The 15540-nt window shown below is 56.3% G+C and overlaps 1 protein-coding gene across 1 annotated transcript in view, besides 7 other annotated features; it reads left to right on the top strand.

The window, feature by feature from the left end:
* Window positions 1-15540, top strand: part of SIDT2 (SID1 transmembrane family member 2) — an 18700-nt gene continuing 3160 nt past the window's right edge. The window contains exons 1-24 of the mRNA NM_001040455.2: window positions 1-704; window positions 2674-2795; window positions 3065-3229; window positions 3318-3363; window positions 3777-3878; window positions 3981-4064; window positions 5037-5136; window positions 5332-5397; window positions 7388-7481; window positions 7842-7894; window positions 8636-8707; window positions 8886-8957; window positions 9966-10084; window positions 10427-10500; window positions 10593-10659; window positions 11210-11283; window positions 11424-11547; window positions 11881-11998; window positions 13136-13272; window positions 13512-13620; window positions 13832-13908; window positions 14078-14124; window positions 14411-14516; window positions 15111-15221. Coding sequence (NP_001035545.1) covers window positions 522-704; window positions 2674-2795; window positions 3065-3229; window positions 3318-3363; window positions 3777-3878; window positions 3981-4064; window positions 5037-5136; window positions 5332-5397; window positions 7388-7481; window positions 7842-7894; window positions 8636-8707; window positions 8886-8957; window positions 9966-10084; window positions 10427-10500; window positions 10593-10659; window positions 11210-11283; window positions 11424-11547; window positions 11881-11998; window positions 13136-13272; window positions 13512-13620; window positions 13832-13908; window positions 14078-14124; window positions 14411-14516; window positions 15111-15221 — 2322 coding nt within the window. The 5' untranslated portion in view covers window positions 1-521. The remainder of the gene's footprint in view (window positions 705-2673; window positions 2796-3064; window positions 3230-3317; window positions 3364-3776; window positions 3879-3980; window positions 4065-5036; window positions 5137-5331; window positions 5398-7387; window positions 7482-7841; window positions 7895-8635; window positions 8708-8885; window positions 8958-9965; window positions 10085-10426; window positions 10501-10592; window positions 10660-11209; window positions 11284-11423; window positions 11548-11880; window positions 11999-13135; window positions 13273-13511; window positions 13621-13831; window positions 13909-14077; window positions 14125-14410; window positions 14517-15110; window positions 15222-15540) is intronic.
* Window positions 100-309: a silencer, noted in NCBI's record as "silent region_3932". NCBI's record gives its function as "represses an Ori minimal core promoter by ATAC-STARR-seq in GM12878 lymphoblastoid cells {active_cell/tissue: GM12878}" and the evidence as "EXISTENCE:reporter gene assay evidence [ECO:0000049][PMID:35858748]".
* Window positions 1290-1359: an enhancer, noted in NCBI's record as "active region_5566". NCBI's record gives its function as "activates an Ori minimal core promoter by ATAC-STARR-seq in GM12878 lymphoblastoid cells {active_cell/tissue: GM12878}" and the evidence as "EXISTENCE:reporter gene assay evidence [ECO:0000049][PMID:35858748]".
* Window positions 2387-2446: an enhancer, noted in NCBI's record as "active region_5567". NCBI's record gives its function as "activates an Ori minimal core promoter by ATAC-STARR-seq in GM12878 lymphoblastoid cells {active_cell/tissue: GM12878}" and the evidence as "EXISTENCE:reporter gene assay evidence [ECO:0000049][PMID:35858748]".
* Window positions 2683-3478: an enhancer, noted in NCBI's record as "H3K27ac-H3K4me1 hESC enhancer chr11:117052141-117052936 (GRCh37/hg19 assembly coordinates)". NCBI's record gives its function as "activates a minimal SCP1, AML or CMV promoter by ChIP-STARR-seq in naive H9 embryonic stem cells {active_cell/tissue: H9 hESC(naive)}" and the evidence as "EXISTENCE:reporter gene assay evidence [ECO:0000049][PMID:30033119]".
* Window positions 2917-2976: a silencer, noted in NCBI's record as "silent region_3933". NCBI's record gives its function as "represses an Ori minimal core promoter by ATAC-STARR-seq in GM12878 lymphoblastoid cells {active_cell/tissue: GM12878}" and the evidence as "EXISTENCE:reporter gene assay evidence [ECO:0000049][PMID:35858748]".
* Window positions 8979-9479: an enhancer, noted in NCBI's record as "H3K4me1 hESC enhancer chr11:117058437-117058937 (GRCh37/hg19 assembly coordinates)". NCBI's record gives its function as "activates a minimal SCP1, AML or CMV promoter by ChIP-STARR-seq in primed H9 embryonic stem cells {active_cell/tissue: H9 hESC(primed)}" and the evidence as "EXISTENCE:reporter gene assay evidence [ECO:0000049][PMID:30033119]".
* Window positions 10466-10515: an enhancer, noted in NCBI's record as "active region_5568". NCBI's record gives its function as "activates an Ori minimal core promoter by ATAC-STARR-seq in GM12878 lymphoblastoid cells {active_cell/tissue: GM12878}" and the evidence as "EXISTENCE:reporter gene assay evidence [ECO:0000049][PMID:35858748]".

Raw genomic sequence — 15540 nt, forward strand, 5'->3', positions numbered from 1 at the left:
AGTGTTCGTGCGTCGGGACGGCGCGTCCGCCCGCCCTTAAAGGGCCCGCACCTCGGAAAACTCGCAGCCCAGCACGGCGTCGGGTAGCTACCACCTATCACGCCCCTCACTCTGCGACTCGCCTTCCTCCGCGGCCAGCCCCCGCCGCCGGCTCTTCCTCCCTCCCCTTTCCCGGCGTCTCCAGGCTCCCGGCAACCAGCCGCCCTCCTTCTCACGGCCCTGGCCCGGGGCTCCAGGGTCTCAGGTCGTACTCAGCCCCTCGCGAGCTGGGACCCCTTCCCGTAGCCAGCATCCCCTCCCTCCCCGCCCCCTCCCGGCCGCCCCCTCCCCTGCGGGGACCCTGGGAGCCTCTTCGGGGCTCTTGGGAGGGGACATTTCCTAATCTCAGGCCGGGGTTAAAGTTCTGGTCCTGGTGAGATGCTGGAAGCTGCGGCCGCAGCCGCAACCCGTCCCGGAGGTGTCCTGTCTCCTGTCGCCGCCGCCGCCGCCACCACCGCTGCCACTGCCGCCCTGCCGGGGCCATGTTCGCTCTGGGCTTGCCCTTCTTGGTGCTCTTGGTGGCCTCGGTCGAGAGCCATCTGGGGGTTCTGGGGCCCAAGAACGTCTCGCAGAAAGACGCCGAGTTTGAGCGCACCTACGTGGACGAGGTCAACAGCGAGCTGGTCAACATCTACACCTTCAACCATACTGTGACCCGCAACAGGGTGAGGGCTGGGGGCTTAGGGGCCAGAGGCGAGTGGGGAAGCCGACGAGGGCTAGGCGATTCTGCCGCCCCGCTACCCTTTTGGGAGGCCCCAGGAACGAGCTGTCCTGCTAGGTTCCCAGTTCCCAGAACCACACTGGAGCCTCTTGACCAGTCCTCCTTCCTTTGCCACCAATGTTTCTCTGAAGCTCCAGCTGGGCAGTTTTTGAAGTTGGCTCATTCCCATCTTCTCTTCCGCCCCCATTCTTCCATCAGTTGTGGTCTGAGCACACATGGCTTGCTCTCTACCCTAAACCCCAGAATCTGACAGCTCTGTGGGGTCTCGGTGGGAGAGGAAACAGGCTTATTACTGGGCTTGCCCAGAAAACCTCAGGGGAATGAGACTGGCCCAGAACTGAAAAGCTCTGTGCAGGCAAGTTACATCTCAGACTCCCCAGGGAGATGAATGCAGGGCTTCCCAGCCCTCTTCCTGCCTGGGAGAGCCAGCTGGCCTTGTAAATTGAGGGTGACAGAGGTTTTATAAGGCCAACTGCAAGTTGGGTGGGAAGAGAAGGGGAATTTGTCCACTGTGAAAAATCCACTTCACCCTGACTTCTCTTTGGTTTCTTCACCAGCTGTGAGTCCCTGAGTTGAAATAGACACAGCTAGTGTGGGAAGTCTAGACCCCAGGCAGAGCTGAGATTGGGAGAATTCTTGCAACCTGGCTGTGTGGTCTCGTGCCCGGGTCTCTTGCTCTCTCTCCATGACTGCCGTTTACTGAGAAGCAATGGAGTTGAGAATGGGGAATCTGATTTTTTTTCAGAACGGGGAGTGGTTTGGTTTCTGTGGCAGGCCAGGATCTGCCCCCAGTGCCTGGTTCTCTGAAGTTTGATCTCTTTCTGCTTAGAGTCCTTTCTTCCTTTTTTCCCATATCTAAAGGCACTGGAGAGCTGTGGTTTTTACTCTTTTGGGAAATGCTGCCCTAGGGCTTGGGTTTCAGCAGCCCAATAACAAGCATTCCAAGATCGATTTGGTTTTATTTTTCCTTTAAGCTCCCATTGTTTATATATGTTCCTTCATAGCTCCAAGGGTGAAGATCACTTTATCTTTTTTTTTTTTTTTTTTTTTTTGAGACCAGTCTCACTCTGTTGCCCAGGCTGAAGTGCAGTTTTGTGATCTCAGCTCACTGCAACCTCCGCCTTCCCGGTTCAAGCGATTCTCCTGCCTCAGCCTCCCAAGTAGTTGAGATTACAGGCGCCTGCCACCATACCCAGCTAATTTTTGTATTTTTAGTAGAGATGGGGCTTCACCATGTTGGCCAGGCTGGTCTCAAACTCCTGACCTCAGATGATCCTCCTGCCTTGGCCTCCCAAAGTGCTACAAGCGTGAGTCACCGCACCCGGCTGTCATTTTATAGAGGGAGAAGTTGAGGCTTAGAGAAGTAAAGTGACTTCTCCACAGCCCTGTCCCTTGGTGGGAGCTAAGGATACAACATGGCCTTCAATACCTACCCCTCCTCAACTCCTCTGGGCTCTGGCCCCAGGTTAGCTGTTAACTAGAGCTTCCTGCTGGCTTCCTGGCTCACAGGAAGGTTGAGGAGCACTTCTTGTTCTCCTGTGTCTTCGTGTGTGGGGGCGTGTGTACACGTTTGTGTGTGCAGGCCTGTGCATCCTGTGCACATGGATAGGAATGGGGTATCCTGGAGACTCGCAAGGCCTCCACCGTGTTTCCTGGCAGAGGGTGAGACCCTGCGGTTGCTTGGGTCCTGCTGCCCTGCACATGTCTGCCGGCCAGGAGCTGCACTCAGCACAGGTCTTTCCTGGAGTCTGGGGGTTGTTCTGGCAGAAGAAGAGGCAGAGATGACTCCCTGGCCCGACCAAGATGGAGAAAGACCAAAGTAGCTGGCATGAAGGAGGGCAGGGCTCATAGTCTCTGGAGCCACGTGTCCCTGGTGGCAGAGGCTTGAGAGGCATTTCCATGTCGTTCTGCAGACAGAGGGCGTGCGTGTGTCTGTGAACGTCCTGAACAAGCAGAAGGGGGCGCCGTTGCTGTTTGTGGTCCGCCAGAAGGAGGCTGTGGTGTCCTTCCAGGTGCCCCTAATCCTGCGAGGGATGTGAGTAGGATCTGGGCATCAGGGAAGCGGGGCAGCCTAGGCCAGTCCTTGGCTGGAGCCTCAACCAGGAGCCCCCCCATTTCTCCTCCCCTTTCCCTGGGCTGGGAGGCTGGTCAACAGCACAAGGGCCGAGTCCCACCAGCCGGGAGCTTGTGCACCTCGCAGGGAGGTGGTGGAGACCAGACGGGGCGAGGTGGGGCCTCGCTCCTCTGGAGGGGCAGGCCGGCTGGGACAGTGCTCACATCCTATCTCCCTGCTTCGGGCCATAGGTTTCAGCGCAAGTACCTCTACCAAAAAGTGGAACGAACCCTGTGTCAGCCCCCCACCAAGAATGAGTCGGAGATTCAGTTCTTCTACGTGGATGTGTCCACCCTGTCACCAGTCAACACCACATACCAGCTCCGGGTCAGCCGCATGGACGATTTTGTGCTCAGGTCTGCAGGGTAGAGTGAGGGGACCACGGGGGCTGGTTCTTCCCCAGGCTCCGGGGGTGACTGGTGGGGGCTCTTCTCTGCCCTGCAGGACTGGGGAGCAGTTCAGCTTCAATACCACAGCAGCACAGCCCCAGGTAACATCTCCCTGTTGATTGCTCGAGAGGAGAAATGGGGGAGCTTGAATATGAGAATGGGAGTGGCCAGCGGTCTTTGCTTGGCCTTTTGAATTGGCTGTTTTCTCCATGGAGGGCTCTCTGGAAACAGGAGCTCTGGCCCTGACATGGTGAGGGACAGACAGCATGGGACTGTACAGAGACATGGAGTCTGGTTGCCTCTCTGGCATTCTGCTGAGTGCCCTGCTGAGGTTGAAGGGAATGGTATACAGAGAAAGGGGCTGCTGTGATCAAGGCCTGTCTCCTCGGAGAGCCTCCACTGCCCACCCCTCAGAGGATTCTGGGTCCTCGCTTATAGGGGACTATTCCCTTCTAGAGGGGCCAAGAGAGCATCCTCATGAGATGGGGCTCTCCCTTCCTTCCTGCACCCTCAGTACTTCAAGTATGAGTTCCCTGAAGGCGTGGACTCGGTAATTGTCAAGGTGACCTCCAACAAGGCCTTCCCCTGCTCAGTCATCTCCATTCAGGATGTGCTGGTGAGTTGCCTGCCCTTTTGCTCTTCCCCAGCAGGCAGCAGGGCTGCTAAAGAGAGGGGCAGGCCAGGTTCCCATCCATCTGCCTCTCCCGCCCCTCTGCAGTGTCCTGTCTATGACCTGGACAACAACGTAGCCTTCATCGGCATGTACCAGACGATGACCAAGAAGGCGGCCATCACCGTACAGGTAGGAAATGCATGTGGCCACGTGGGAGGTGTGGCTGGGCGATAAGCTGTGTAGCTTTCCAAACTTGAGCTCTTCTTCCTCTGCCCATTCCTATCCTACACACGACTGAGTCTTTGGCCTTCCAGTCCCTGTGACTTTGAGTCCCCTGATATATATGAGAGTTGTACCATAATCCCAGTTGCTCTTGGGGATGGGAAAGAGTAGAGTACCCCCTTCTGGCTGTCATACCTACTTCATTCATTGTAACAATAAGAGGGCTGAGCGCGGTGGCTCATTCCTGTAATCCCAGCACTTTGGGAGGCCGAGGTGGGCGGATCACCTGAGATCAGGAGTTCAAGACCAGCCTGGCCAACAGGCTGAAACCCCGTCTCTACTAAAAATACGAAAAATTAGCTGGGCATGGTGGCGCATGCCTGTAATCCCAGCTACTCGGGAGGCTGAGTCAGGAGAATCACTTGAACCTGGGAGACAGAGGTTGCAGTGAGCCGAGATCACACCACTGCACTCCAGCCTGGGCAAAAGGAGTGAAACTCTGTCTCAAGAAAAAAAAGGTCAGGCGCAGTGGCTCACGCCTGTAATCCCACACTTCGGGAGGCTGAGGCGGGCAGATCACCTGAGATCAGGCGTTCAAGACCAGCCTGGCCAACATGGTGAAACCCCATCTCTACTAAAAACATAAAAATTAGCTGGGCGTGGTGATGGACGCCTGTAATCCCAGCTACTTGGGAGGTTGAAGCAGGAGAATTGTTTGAACCCGGGAGGCGGAGGTTGCAGTGAGCTGAGATCATGCCATGGCACTCCAGCCTAGGCAATAGGAGTGAAACTCCGTCTCAAAAAAAAAAAAAATCTTGTGAGGATTAAGTAAAATATATCTATGAAGAATTTAGCATAATGTCTGGCCCCAGAACAAGTATTTAGAAAAGAATGATGATGATGATGATGAAGAAGATATTTATCATCATCATCCTGCAGCGCAAAGACTTCCCCAGCAACAGCTTTTATGTGGTGGTGGTGGTGAAGACCGAAGACCAAGCCTGCGGGGGCTCCCTGCCTTTCTACCCCTTCGCAGAAGGTACATTTTGTGCCCTGGGCCTGGCTAGGGATGGGGAGGTCTTGGTCACTTTCTGGGAGCAAGAAGAGCCTGCGTGGCTGATTGGTGGACCTGATAGGACATGGGTTTTTGGCTCCAGTCTCTCAAAGGCCTGATCCCACTGACTCTAGCCAAGCTCCAGGCAACTAGTTTACCACTTTGACATTTTACTTCCAGATGAACCGGTCGATCAAGGGCACCGCCAGAAAACCCTGTCAGTGCTGGTGTCTCAAGCAGTCACGTGTGAGTGCTGCAGGTGGCTGAGAGGGGATGGACAAGCCTCTCTGGCTCCTGCTTTCAGACCTGGGATATAGGGTGTGCCCTGAAGTGGGTGATGAGGATGCAGATATGCTGGTGGGGTAGGAACGGGGAGTGTTCTTGGCAGGCTTCTAGATGGGGAGGGCCGGGAGGTGAGTTCCAGTGTGATGTGGTACAGAGAGTTCATGACTAAAGATGGAAGAACTGAGGTCCAGTTCACTTTCTGCCACTTATCAGCAGTGTAACCTGATTGTAAGAAAGAGCTTTAATTTTGCTTTGTTAGCATAGTTATAATCTTATTTATTCTGAAGGATGTTTCTTAATCTCATATTCAGAAACATACCCTAATTTGTCATTGAAACACTGCTATAAGATTGAGTCTCAGTTTCCCTGTCTCTATAACAGAGGGAGTAAAATTTGTCCAGTTAATCTCACTAAGTTATGAGGGCTAGCACAAAATTAGCAGATAAAATTAGCAGGAAAGTACCAGGCCCCTACTCAGTGCTCAATAAATATTTACTGAATGATTAAATGGGGCCCTAAGGGACTGTGATAGGAGGGGAAAGAAGGTGCCTCTCTTTCTTTTTTTGAGATGGACTCTTGCTCTGTCACCCAGGCTGTAATGCAGTGGCAAGATCTCTACTCACTGCAATCTCCGCCTCCCGGGTTCAAATGATTCTCCTGCCTCAGCCTCCTGAGTTGCTGGGATTACAGGCACCTGCCGCCATGCCCAGCTAATTTTTGTATTTTTAGTAGAGACGGGGGTTTCACCATGTTGGCCAGGCTGGTCTTGAACTCTTGACCTCAGGTGATCCGCCCACCTTGGCCTCCCAGAGTGTGGGATTACAGGCATGAGCCACCGTGCCCAGCCAGAGGGTGCCTCTCTCTCTCTCTCTTTTTTTTTTTTTTTTCCGAGATGGAGTCTTGCTCTGTTGCCCAGGCTGGAGTGCAGTGGCGCAATCTCGGCTTACTGCAAGCTCCACCTCCCAGGTTCACGCCATTCTCCTGCCTCAGCCTACCGAGTAGCTGGGACTACAGGTGCCCGCCACCACGCCCGGCTAATTTTTTGTATTTTTAGTAGAGAAGGAGTTTCACCGTGTTAGCCAGGATGGTCTCAATCTCCTGACCTCGTGATCCACCTGCCCCGGCTCCCAAAGTGCTGAGATTACAGGCGTGAGCCACCGCGCCCGGCCAGGGTGCCTCTCTTACATGGATTATTTATTCAGCAAATATTTATGGAGCACCTCCTATATGCCAGGTGGTATGCTAAGGCAGCAGTCCTTGGTGGGGGCGGGGTCCTGTCTAGAGGAACAGGAGGCAGTTAAGAGCTGTGGTGAGCAAGGAACAGGTCACTGTGGAAATACAGGACAGAGAAAGCTTCCTAGAGGACACAGTCCCTGAGCTGTGGTTTGAGGGTTAAGTCAAGGTGGAATTTTTGAGAGGCCAGGCACGGTGGCTCACGCCTATAATCCCAGAACTTTGGGAGGCTGAGGCAGGGAAATTGCTTGAAGCCAGGAATTCAAGACCAGCCTGAGCAACATAGCGAGACCCAATCTCTATAAAAAATAAAAAAATGAGCCAGGCGTGGTGGCACACATCTGTAGTCCCAGCTACTCAGGAGGCTGAGGTGGAAGGATGGAGCCTAGGAGTTGGAGGCTGCAGTGAGCTATGATCGTGCCACTGCACTCCAGCATGGGTAACAGAGTGAGCCCGTCTCAAAAAAAAAAAAAAAAAAAAAAAAGTAGAAGAGAAAGTTCTAGCCCAGGGAGCAACATGAGCAAAAATAGGAGTGTGTCAGAGTTTGGTGTATTAGAGGAACTGCCAGTTGTTCATACTGGCTAGGCAGGGCCTTACATTTGAGGGGAGAAGGGTGAGAGATTGAGCTGGGTGGAGGAGGACATGAAGGCCTTTGGGTGCCATGATGGGAGGTGGTGGAAGGTTTTGACCTGTCCACCTTCCTGTTTCCTCCTTGAAGCTGAGGCATACGTCAGTGGGATGCTCTTTTGCCTGGGTATATTTCTCTCCTTTTACCTGCTGACCGTCCTCCTGGCCTGCTGGGAGAACTGGAGGTAAAGTGGAACTGCTGGGCCTCCCCTGGTCTGGGTGGTTTGGGCAGGTGTGTGGGGCAGATCACCTGGCAGGATCTGAGCCAGCCTAGGGTAATCTACACCATCCATAGCAGATGATGGTGGGGCTGTTAGAGTCTGTGGCCCATGAGCCTCTCTAGAAACCATCCCCTCCCCTCAACCTTCTTCCCAAGCAGGGAGATCCCATGTTGCTCCCCAGCCTGTGAGGAACCCTGGGACAAAGGGTGGAGGACAGGGTCATAGCGATGAGAGTGGAGCAGAGAGGTAGAAGGAAAGTCAGCCCCATACAGAGTGATCCTTGTCCTGTCCCATCTGGGTGGCCTGTGGGTTCTGTCCATGCAGGCAGAAGAAGAAGACCCTGCTGGTGGCCATTGACCGAGCCTGCCCAGAAAGCGGTACCTCCAGGGGGCCTGGGTGGGGCGGGCACAGTGTGCTTTGTGTTTTGGGGGGTGGTGGTGGATGGTTCCCTAGGGGGTTGGAGGAGGAAGGGCTGGGGGTTTCTGGATGTTCAGATGGGGGTAACACTCCACAGATGGGAATGAGGCTGGGATATGATGTCCATGCATCCCTAACATGCACACCTCAGAGGCTGAGGTGTTGCTTGGTTTATTCCATGTCTAGCGATGGTGTCTGCCTGCCTTGGGCAGTGTGGCCCACGGTCTCTGGGATTATTAACCTTTCCTTCTCTCTCTCTTCCACCCCTCCCTCTCTTTCTGTCCTCCCTCCTGCGTGGGACCTTCTCTCTTAGCTTCTCTCCTTGGTAAGCTCCAGGTGCTGTGGGCAGAGGAGCTGGAGTCCAGAGTAGGGGAGGGAGGGTGCAGCACAGGGCTGTCTGGAGGGCTCGTGGGCGGGCCAGTGTTGTCTTTGTTGCTGGTAACTTAGATGTGCCTGTTCTTGAACTTTCTCTCTCCTTAGGGAAGACAAAGGGTGGTGCTGTTTCCATGGGAGAGGCAGGCAGGGGGCTGGGGCGGGTGGTGGTGGCAGCAGTGGGGTGTGTTTGCCTGGATAGGTGCTGCTTCTCGTCTGCTGGCATGGCCTCCCTGTGGCTGTCTTCTCTGGACCTTTCTTTGTTCTTCTCCCTGGCTCTAGGCCTCTCTCTTCGTCCAGTGCTAACAGACCTTGACTTCTCATTGCAGGTCACCCTCGAGTCCTGGCTGATTCTTTTCCTGGCAGTTCCCCTTATGAGGGTTACAACTATGGCTCCTTTGGTACGTGTCAAAGCCAGCACCGTGCTTGCTGGGGACATGACCTTGTCTCCTTAGGCCACCACCTCCGAGGCGGTAAAGTGGGAGCCACCTCCTCCAGCCCCCACACCCTCTGCAGATGCTCAGAGCCCCTTTCCCTGCGGCCTCTCCTTCCTGCCTCACCACTGATCGTTCCCCACAGAGAATGTTTCTGGATCTACCGATGGTCTGGTTGACAGCGCTGGCACTGGGGACCTCTCTTACGGTTACCAGGGTGAGTGGGCCAGGCTGGGAGGGGCGGTGTGGTGCAGGACGGTGTTGTCTGGGTAAAATGTCACGGTGGGCGGTTGCCTCTTCTGCCAGATGCTGGAACCTGGGAAGGGCCTGCTGTCTTCCTAACCCCTCTCTTCCCTCATCCCCTCCTCCTTGGCCCCAGTTCCCTGGTAACTTTCCCTTTCCTTTGAAGGGCACGACCAGTTCAAGCGGCGCCTCCCCTCTGGCCAGATGCGGCAGCTGTGCATTGCCATGGGTAGACCTGGGGTGGGGGTAGGGCTGTTTTGCCAATCAGTGCCTGCCGGCTCCGGTTGACTGCCGGCTGTGGGGCCAGAAAGATTCTATGTGCATGGCTTCCCCATGTAATTCCAGTAATTGCCCGCTCTTGTGTCTTCTGAGATAGCAGCAGAGCACAGGCTCCTTTGGCTGGCGGGCTGGCGCCTCCGCTCTCTCCAGGCTGGACAATCTAGTTTATCGTCTGCGTTGCCAGCGCCCTCACTCCCTGGCCTGCTTGGGGAGGGCTCACAGGCATGGGGGTCACATTCTGGCCTCTGGATAAAGGAGAAATGCTCTTTCTGCACCCCAGGCCCACTGGGTCTTTAACCCAGTGGCAGCCAAGGCAGTGTCTTCTCAGAACCCACAGGGCTGGGCACCCTTGAATCAGCATGACTTGCCGAGTTCAATCCTGTTGTTTGTGTCTGCTGCCTGGGGTCTGCCTTGTGTCCTGGCCTGGGAAGCCCTAGCCCATGAGGGGTGCCAGGAACAGAGCAAAGCTAGAGCGGCCCCTGTGTGGTGGCCTCTTCTAGAGTCTACCATCATCCCCCAGGACTTAGGAGCACCTGATGTCTCCTCCCAGCTCCTGAGCCCACTTCCACCCCAACTCTGAGGCCCAGCCCACAATTTGCCTCTTCCCTACTGCCTAATAATTGTTACAATTGCCTCAGATGGGCGAGGGCCACTGTGGGTTTTGTGTCCACCGGTGCAACCCCTCCCTCCCTGCCCTTTCCAGGCCGCTCCTTTGAACCTGTAGGTACTCGGCCCCGAGTGGACTCCATGAGCTCTGTGGAGGAGGATGACTACGACACATTGACCGACATCGATTCCGACAAGAATGTCATTCGCACCAAGGTCTGACCCGTGGGCCTGGCCTGGTCAGGCGTTTCCTGAGAAAGGGACATTCTGCGTTCCCGCCCCAGCATGTTCCCACTGACGTGGCATTTAGGGAAGCAGAAGGAAGGGGCTCAGCTGGGGCAGGGCAGATGCCGGGGAAACTAACCTGACCTCCAACCCCTTCCGGCCTGATTGGCCAAACCCTCTTGGTCTAAGCGGCCGCAGCAGTGGGATGTCCTTGAACCCTGCCCCCCTGAATTCGGCCCTGTGTGAGGGAGGCCCCTCTTGTCCACCTCTAACCTGGGGGAGGGGGCTTCTCCCAAGTAGCAGTAAGTGGGGCTGATTCCAGCTTCTCCCCAGCAATACCTCTATGTGGCTGACCTGGCACGGAAGGACAAGCGTGTTCTGCGGAAAAAGTACCAGATCTACTTCTGGTGAGTGGGCTGAGTGTCTGGGGCTCTGCTGTTGGTGGGTGTGTGGCAGCCTTGGGTGCCACCCACCTCACTGCCGCCCTCCTGCTCCGCAGGAACATTGCCACCATTGCTGTCTTCTATGCCCTTCCTGTGGTGCAGCTGGTGATCACCTACCAGACGGTGAGAGGGCAGGGCAGGTTCACCTTTCCGACAGCCTAGGACACCGCCCCAAAGTGCAGAGCCTCCCAGCCTGGGGCCCTGGTGTTCCATCACAGGACCTGGGTTCAGATCCCAGCTCTGCCTTCCCAGCCGAGTGACCCAGGGCAAATCACATAACCCCCCCAACCCTGAGTGTCAGTTTCTTCATCTGCAAAATGGGAGCAGCCCGCACTAAAGATAGCCCCTCCCTGGTTTCTTGTGCGGATTATGAAACCAAAGTCCTGGGGCTTTGTAAGCATCAGTTTCCCTTCCCTTTTCTCTGTCCCGTGGGGCAAGAACTTCCATCACGGTCATGCCTCAGGGTTTTCAGCCACGCCTAATGAGAGGGGACAGCGACTGTGCTGCATGGCATCCATGTTCTCAGAAGGAACACGTGCCTGCGGTGCTGTGTATTCCCACCTGCTAGCTGTGGTGGCACTTGCTGTTTTTTGCCAAAGGGGCCCGGATGGCGGGGCGTGGGCTGAGTTGGGCGTGACGACAGACCCACTCCCTGTCCCTGCTCCTGCTACAGGTGGTGAATGTCACAGGGAATCAGGACATCTGCTACTACAACTTCCTCTGCGCCCACCCACTGGGCAATCTCAGGTGGGGGTCATGCTGGGAGGCCCCTTGTCCAGGCCAAGGGTGAAATGGGGCAGGGCCTGGGGCTTTGCAATGCCCACGTGGGCTAGGGAAGAGGCCTGGGTGTGAGTCCCAAGCAGTCTGCCTTGTGTTGCCCCTTCTAGCGCCTTCAACAACATCCTCAGCAACCTGGGGTACATCCTGCTGGGGCTGCTTTTCCTGCTCATCATCCTGCAACGGGAGATCAACCACAACCGGGCCCTGCTGCGCAATGACCTCTGTGCCCTGGTAAGGGAGCACCTGCCTGCCTGCCGCAGCCTCAGCTCCAGCACAGACCTCAAGCCTTGGCTCCAGGACACCCTTTTGGGCAGGCCTGGCCCTGCCTTCCCCAGCTCTCCCCTCCCCAGTTCTGTCTGGCCCACCCTATCCAGCCCAGCCTGCCCCACCCTGCCCTGCCCTCCCTTGCCAGCCTGCCCAGGCCAGCCCACCCCTGCACACCCACACTCGACACATACCCCACCCCTTTTCCTCTTCCACTCCTCTTAGGGTCCCTCTTTTGGGTCCCTTCTTCCCTTCCTGCCTCACTTCCTCCCTCCCTTCCCTTCTCTCTCTCCCCAACAGGAATGTGGGATCCCCAAACACTTTGGGCTTTTCTACGCCATGGGCACAGCCCTGATGATGGAGGGGCTGCTCAGTGCTTGCTATCATGTGTGCCCCAACTATACCAATTTCCAGTTTGGTGAGTGGGGCGTCCTTCTTTTCTGGCTCAACCTACAGCAGGGACCTGCCTGAGTCCTTCACTATCCCCAAGTCACCCACAGGGATCGCTAAGACACCCCTGTAGGAAACTCCAAGGCTGGCGTGCCTGGGTGTGCACACATCCTAGCCTATGGAACATGGGCACCTAGATGCTGCTTCATTCATCTGTCAAGCTATTCCTATGTAAAGGCATGTGCCGCAGTGAAGAAAACAGTATAATTAAGAAGGGGTCCCTGGCCGGGTGCAGTGGCTCACGCCTGTAATCCCAGCACTTTGGGAGGCCGAGGCAGATGGATCACGAGGTCAGGAGCTCCAGACCATCCTGGCTAACATGGTGAAACCCCGTCTCTACTAAAAATACAAAAAATTAGCCGGGCACAGTGGCAGGCGCCTGTAGTCCCAGCTGCTCGGGAGGCTGAGGCAGGAGAATGGCATGAATCCGGGAGGCAGAGTTTGCAATGAGCCAAGATCACGCCCTGCGCTCTAGCCTGGGCAACAGAGCGAGACTCCGTCTCAAAAAAAAAAAAAAGAAGGGGGCCCTGGCTGGGCACTGTGGCTCATGCCTGTAATCCTAGCACTTTGGGAGGCTGAGGCGGGGGGATCGCCCAAGGTGGGGAGTTTGAGATCAGCCGGGCCAACATGGTGAAACCCCATCTCTACTAAAAATGCAAAGATTAGCTGGGTGTGGTGGTGCATGCCTGTAATCTCAGCTACTCAGGGGGCTGAGGCAGGAGAATTGCTTGAGCCCAGGAAGCGGAGGTTGCAGTGAGCCGAGATCCCACCATTGCACGCCAGCCTGGGCGACAGAGTGAGACTCCGTCTCCAAAAAAATAAAAGGGAGTCCCTGATCTCAGGGTGCTCACAGACTAAGACACAGACCAAGTTGTCCCTGTTTTCAGGAGATGTCAGACTCTGGGTGACAGCCAGTGGGGTGGCAGTGTGGTGTGGCAGGTACAACTAAGGAACTGAAGTTCAAGTGCCACCCTGCCACCAGCTCACACCATGGCCGTGGTGGGGCACCAGGGCTCTCTCTTCCTCTGGGATTGTTGGGGCCAGGAGTTCTCTGCTGGGGCTTGGTGGCCATTTCTGCAGCTCCCTTCCGTGTCCCTCATCCTAGACACATCGTTCATGTACATGATCGCCGGACTCTGCATGCTGAAGCTCTACCAGAAGCGGCACCCGGACATCAACGCCAGCGCCTACAGTGCCTACGCCTGCCTGGCCATTGTCATCTTCTTCTCTGTGCTGGGCGTGGTGAGGGCCTGACCTGCTCTGCTCAGCCTGTATGATAGGAAAGGTGCACGTGCGTTCAGACACGTAGTGCACACCCTCCGCCACCTCCTGCATGAGAGATTCCTGCTCCTTCCCTGAGATGCCTTCCTGGGCCCCTCTCAGAGTCCCAGCCTGGCTGAGCAGCCAGCCCCAGGAAGGGTGGGCCATCCGAGCCACTTCCCTCTCCACCCTCACCGCTGCCCTTGGTGGCCTCCCGACAGGTCTTTGGCAAAGGGAACACGGCGTTCTGGATCGTCTTCTCCATCATTCACATCATCGCCACCCTGCTCCTCAGCACGCAGCTCTATTACATGGGCCGGTGGAAACTGGGTAAGGGCACGCCCGGGGCAGGGCCTGGGGGAGGGGTCTGGGGGGCCTTGGGAACCCGGACGCACGGGAGACGCTCAGGTTCTGTCTTGGGGGCCCTGGAGTCACTGGGTGAGGAATTAGATCAGGCCTGGGCTCCTCAGCTGGCACATCCCAGGGGTCCAGCAAAGGAGGGTGCCCCGTGCCTGTCAGCACCACTCCCTTCTCTTCGCAGACTCGGGGATCTTCCGCCGCATCCTCCACGTGCTCTACACAGACTGCATCCGGCAGTGCAGCGGGCCGCTCTACGTGGTACCTGCCTGGTTCCCCTGCTCCATTCTCCACATCTCCTTTCTTCCCTCTGATGGGGGAGTGGGGCTGGGCTGAGGACCCAGGGGAGAGTGGGGACCAGCTGGCTGGGCCTTCTTCCACCACCCTCCCTGCCCCTGCCCTCAGTCCCTGTGTCCCTGCTTCCCTCCAGGACCGCATGGTGCTGCTGGTCATGGGCAACGTCATCAACTGGTCGCTGTGAGTATGGTCAGCAGTAGTGGCCTGGTTGGGTGGACAGCTGGGGACTCGGTCAGCCACTGGCTGCCTTGGGGGCTAAGGACAACTTCCAAATGTTGGGCATAAGACATGGGGGCTAAGAGAGATCTTGGCCTCTCTTCTCTCTCTTGGCATCTGGGCTTCTAGAATCTTCTGTGGGCTTCTGAACACAGCCCAACATCATAATAAAACATGCCTAGGCAGGGCAGGAAGAGCACTTCCTTGCCCTTGGGCTTCCTGCTTCACCACCCTTCATCCCTCTTGCCAGGGCTGCCTATGGGCTTATCATGCGCCCCAATGATTTCGCTTCCTACTTGTTGGCCATTGGCATCTGCAACCTGCTCCTTTACTTCGCCTTCTACATCATCATGAAGGTGAGTGGGGCTGGCCAAGCCCCCTCTGTCAGCTGCTCTGCTATCTGGGGAGAGAGATGGGCCCGGCAGCATTGAGGGGCAGTGAGAAGTTTTCTGTCCCATCTTTGCTGGTTGCGGAGGGGAGAGGCTAAAGCCTCTTGCATGGGCCCCTGGGAGCCAACTGCAGCCCAAAGACCATTTACTGAGCCCCTTCCAAGGGCCCTTGAAACAGGTGGCATTTTAGGCTGCAGTTGTAAGTGCCCCTTTCCATGCAGAAGGGGCTGAGGGGAGGTAGGGTGTGGGCCTCTCAGGATCAGGTGCTTCCCCAGAAACCATCCTGCCTTCCACTCTGATTGGAGCCCCCTGCATAGGGAGCGCCTTGAGGCCAGTGCACTGTCCCGACACAGGGTTCTGGATACATGGAGGCTGGGTGGGGTGGACATCGGGGTGGGGGCAGGTTGAGCTCTGTGGTTGTGCGGAATGGTATGAATCCAAGGAGCAGTCCTGAAGGCCTGGGAGGCCATGAGGAAAGGGAATCTGGGAAAGGCTGGGTGGGACAGCGGGGTGGGACAGGGGTAAGCCCTCAGACTGCTGTCCCTGCCTGGCCCCTCCCAGCTCCGGAGTGGGGAGAGGATCAAGCTCATCCCCCTGCTCTGCATCGTTTGCACCTCCGTGGTCTGGGGCTTCGCGCTCTTCTTCTTCTTCCAGGGACTCAGCACCTGGCAGGTGAGCACTCACCCTCAGGCTCCTTGTGAGCCAACAAGTGGCCAGTCCTCTTTTTAAACATTGGGGCTGAGCCTGGGATTACCTGTAATCCCAGCACTTTGGGAAGCTGAGGCAGGAGGATCACTTGAGGCGTTCAAGACCAGCCTGGGCAATATAGTAAGAACCCGTCTCTACAAAAAATAAAAAAATAAAAATAAAAAAATTAGCCTGGCGTGGTGGTATTCACCAGTAGTCCTAGCTACCTCGGAAGCGGAGGCAAGAAGATAGCCTGTGCAGGAGTTCCAGGCTGCAGTGAGCCAAGATTGCACCATTGCACTCT

The sequence above is a fragment of the Homo sapiens genome, chromosome 11 (assembly GCF_000001405.40).
Source record: "Homo sapiens chromosome 11, GRCh38.p14 Primary Assembly".
Classification (NCBI taxonomy): Eukaryota; Metazoa; Chordata; class Mammalia; order Primates; family Hominidae; genus Homo; species Homo sapiens.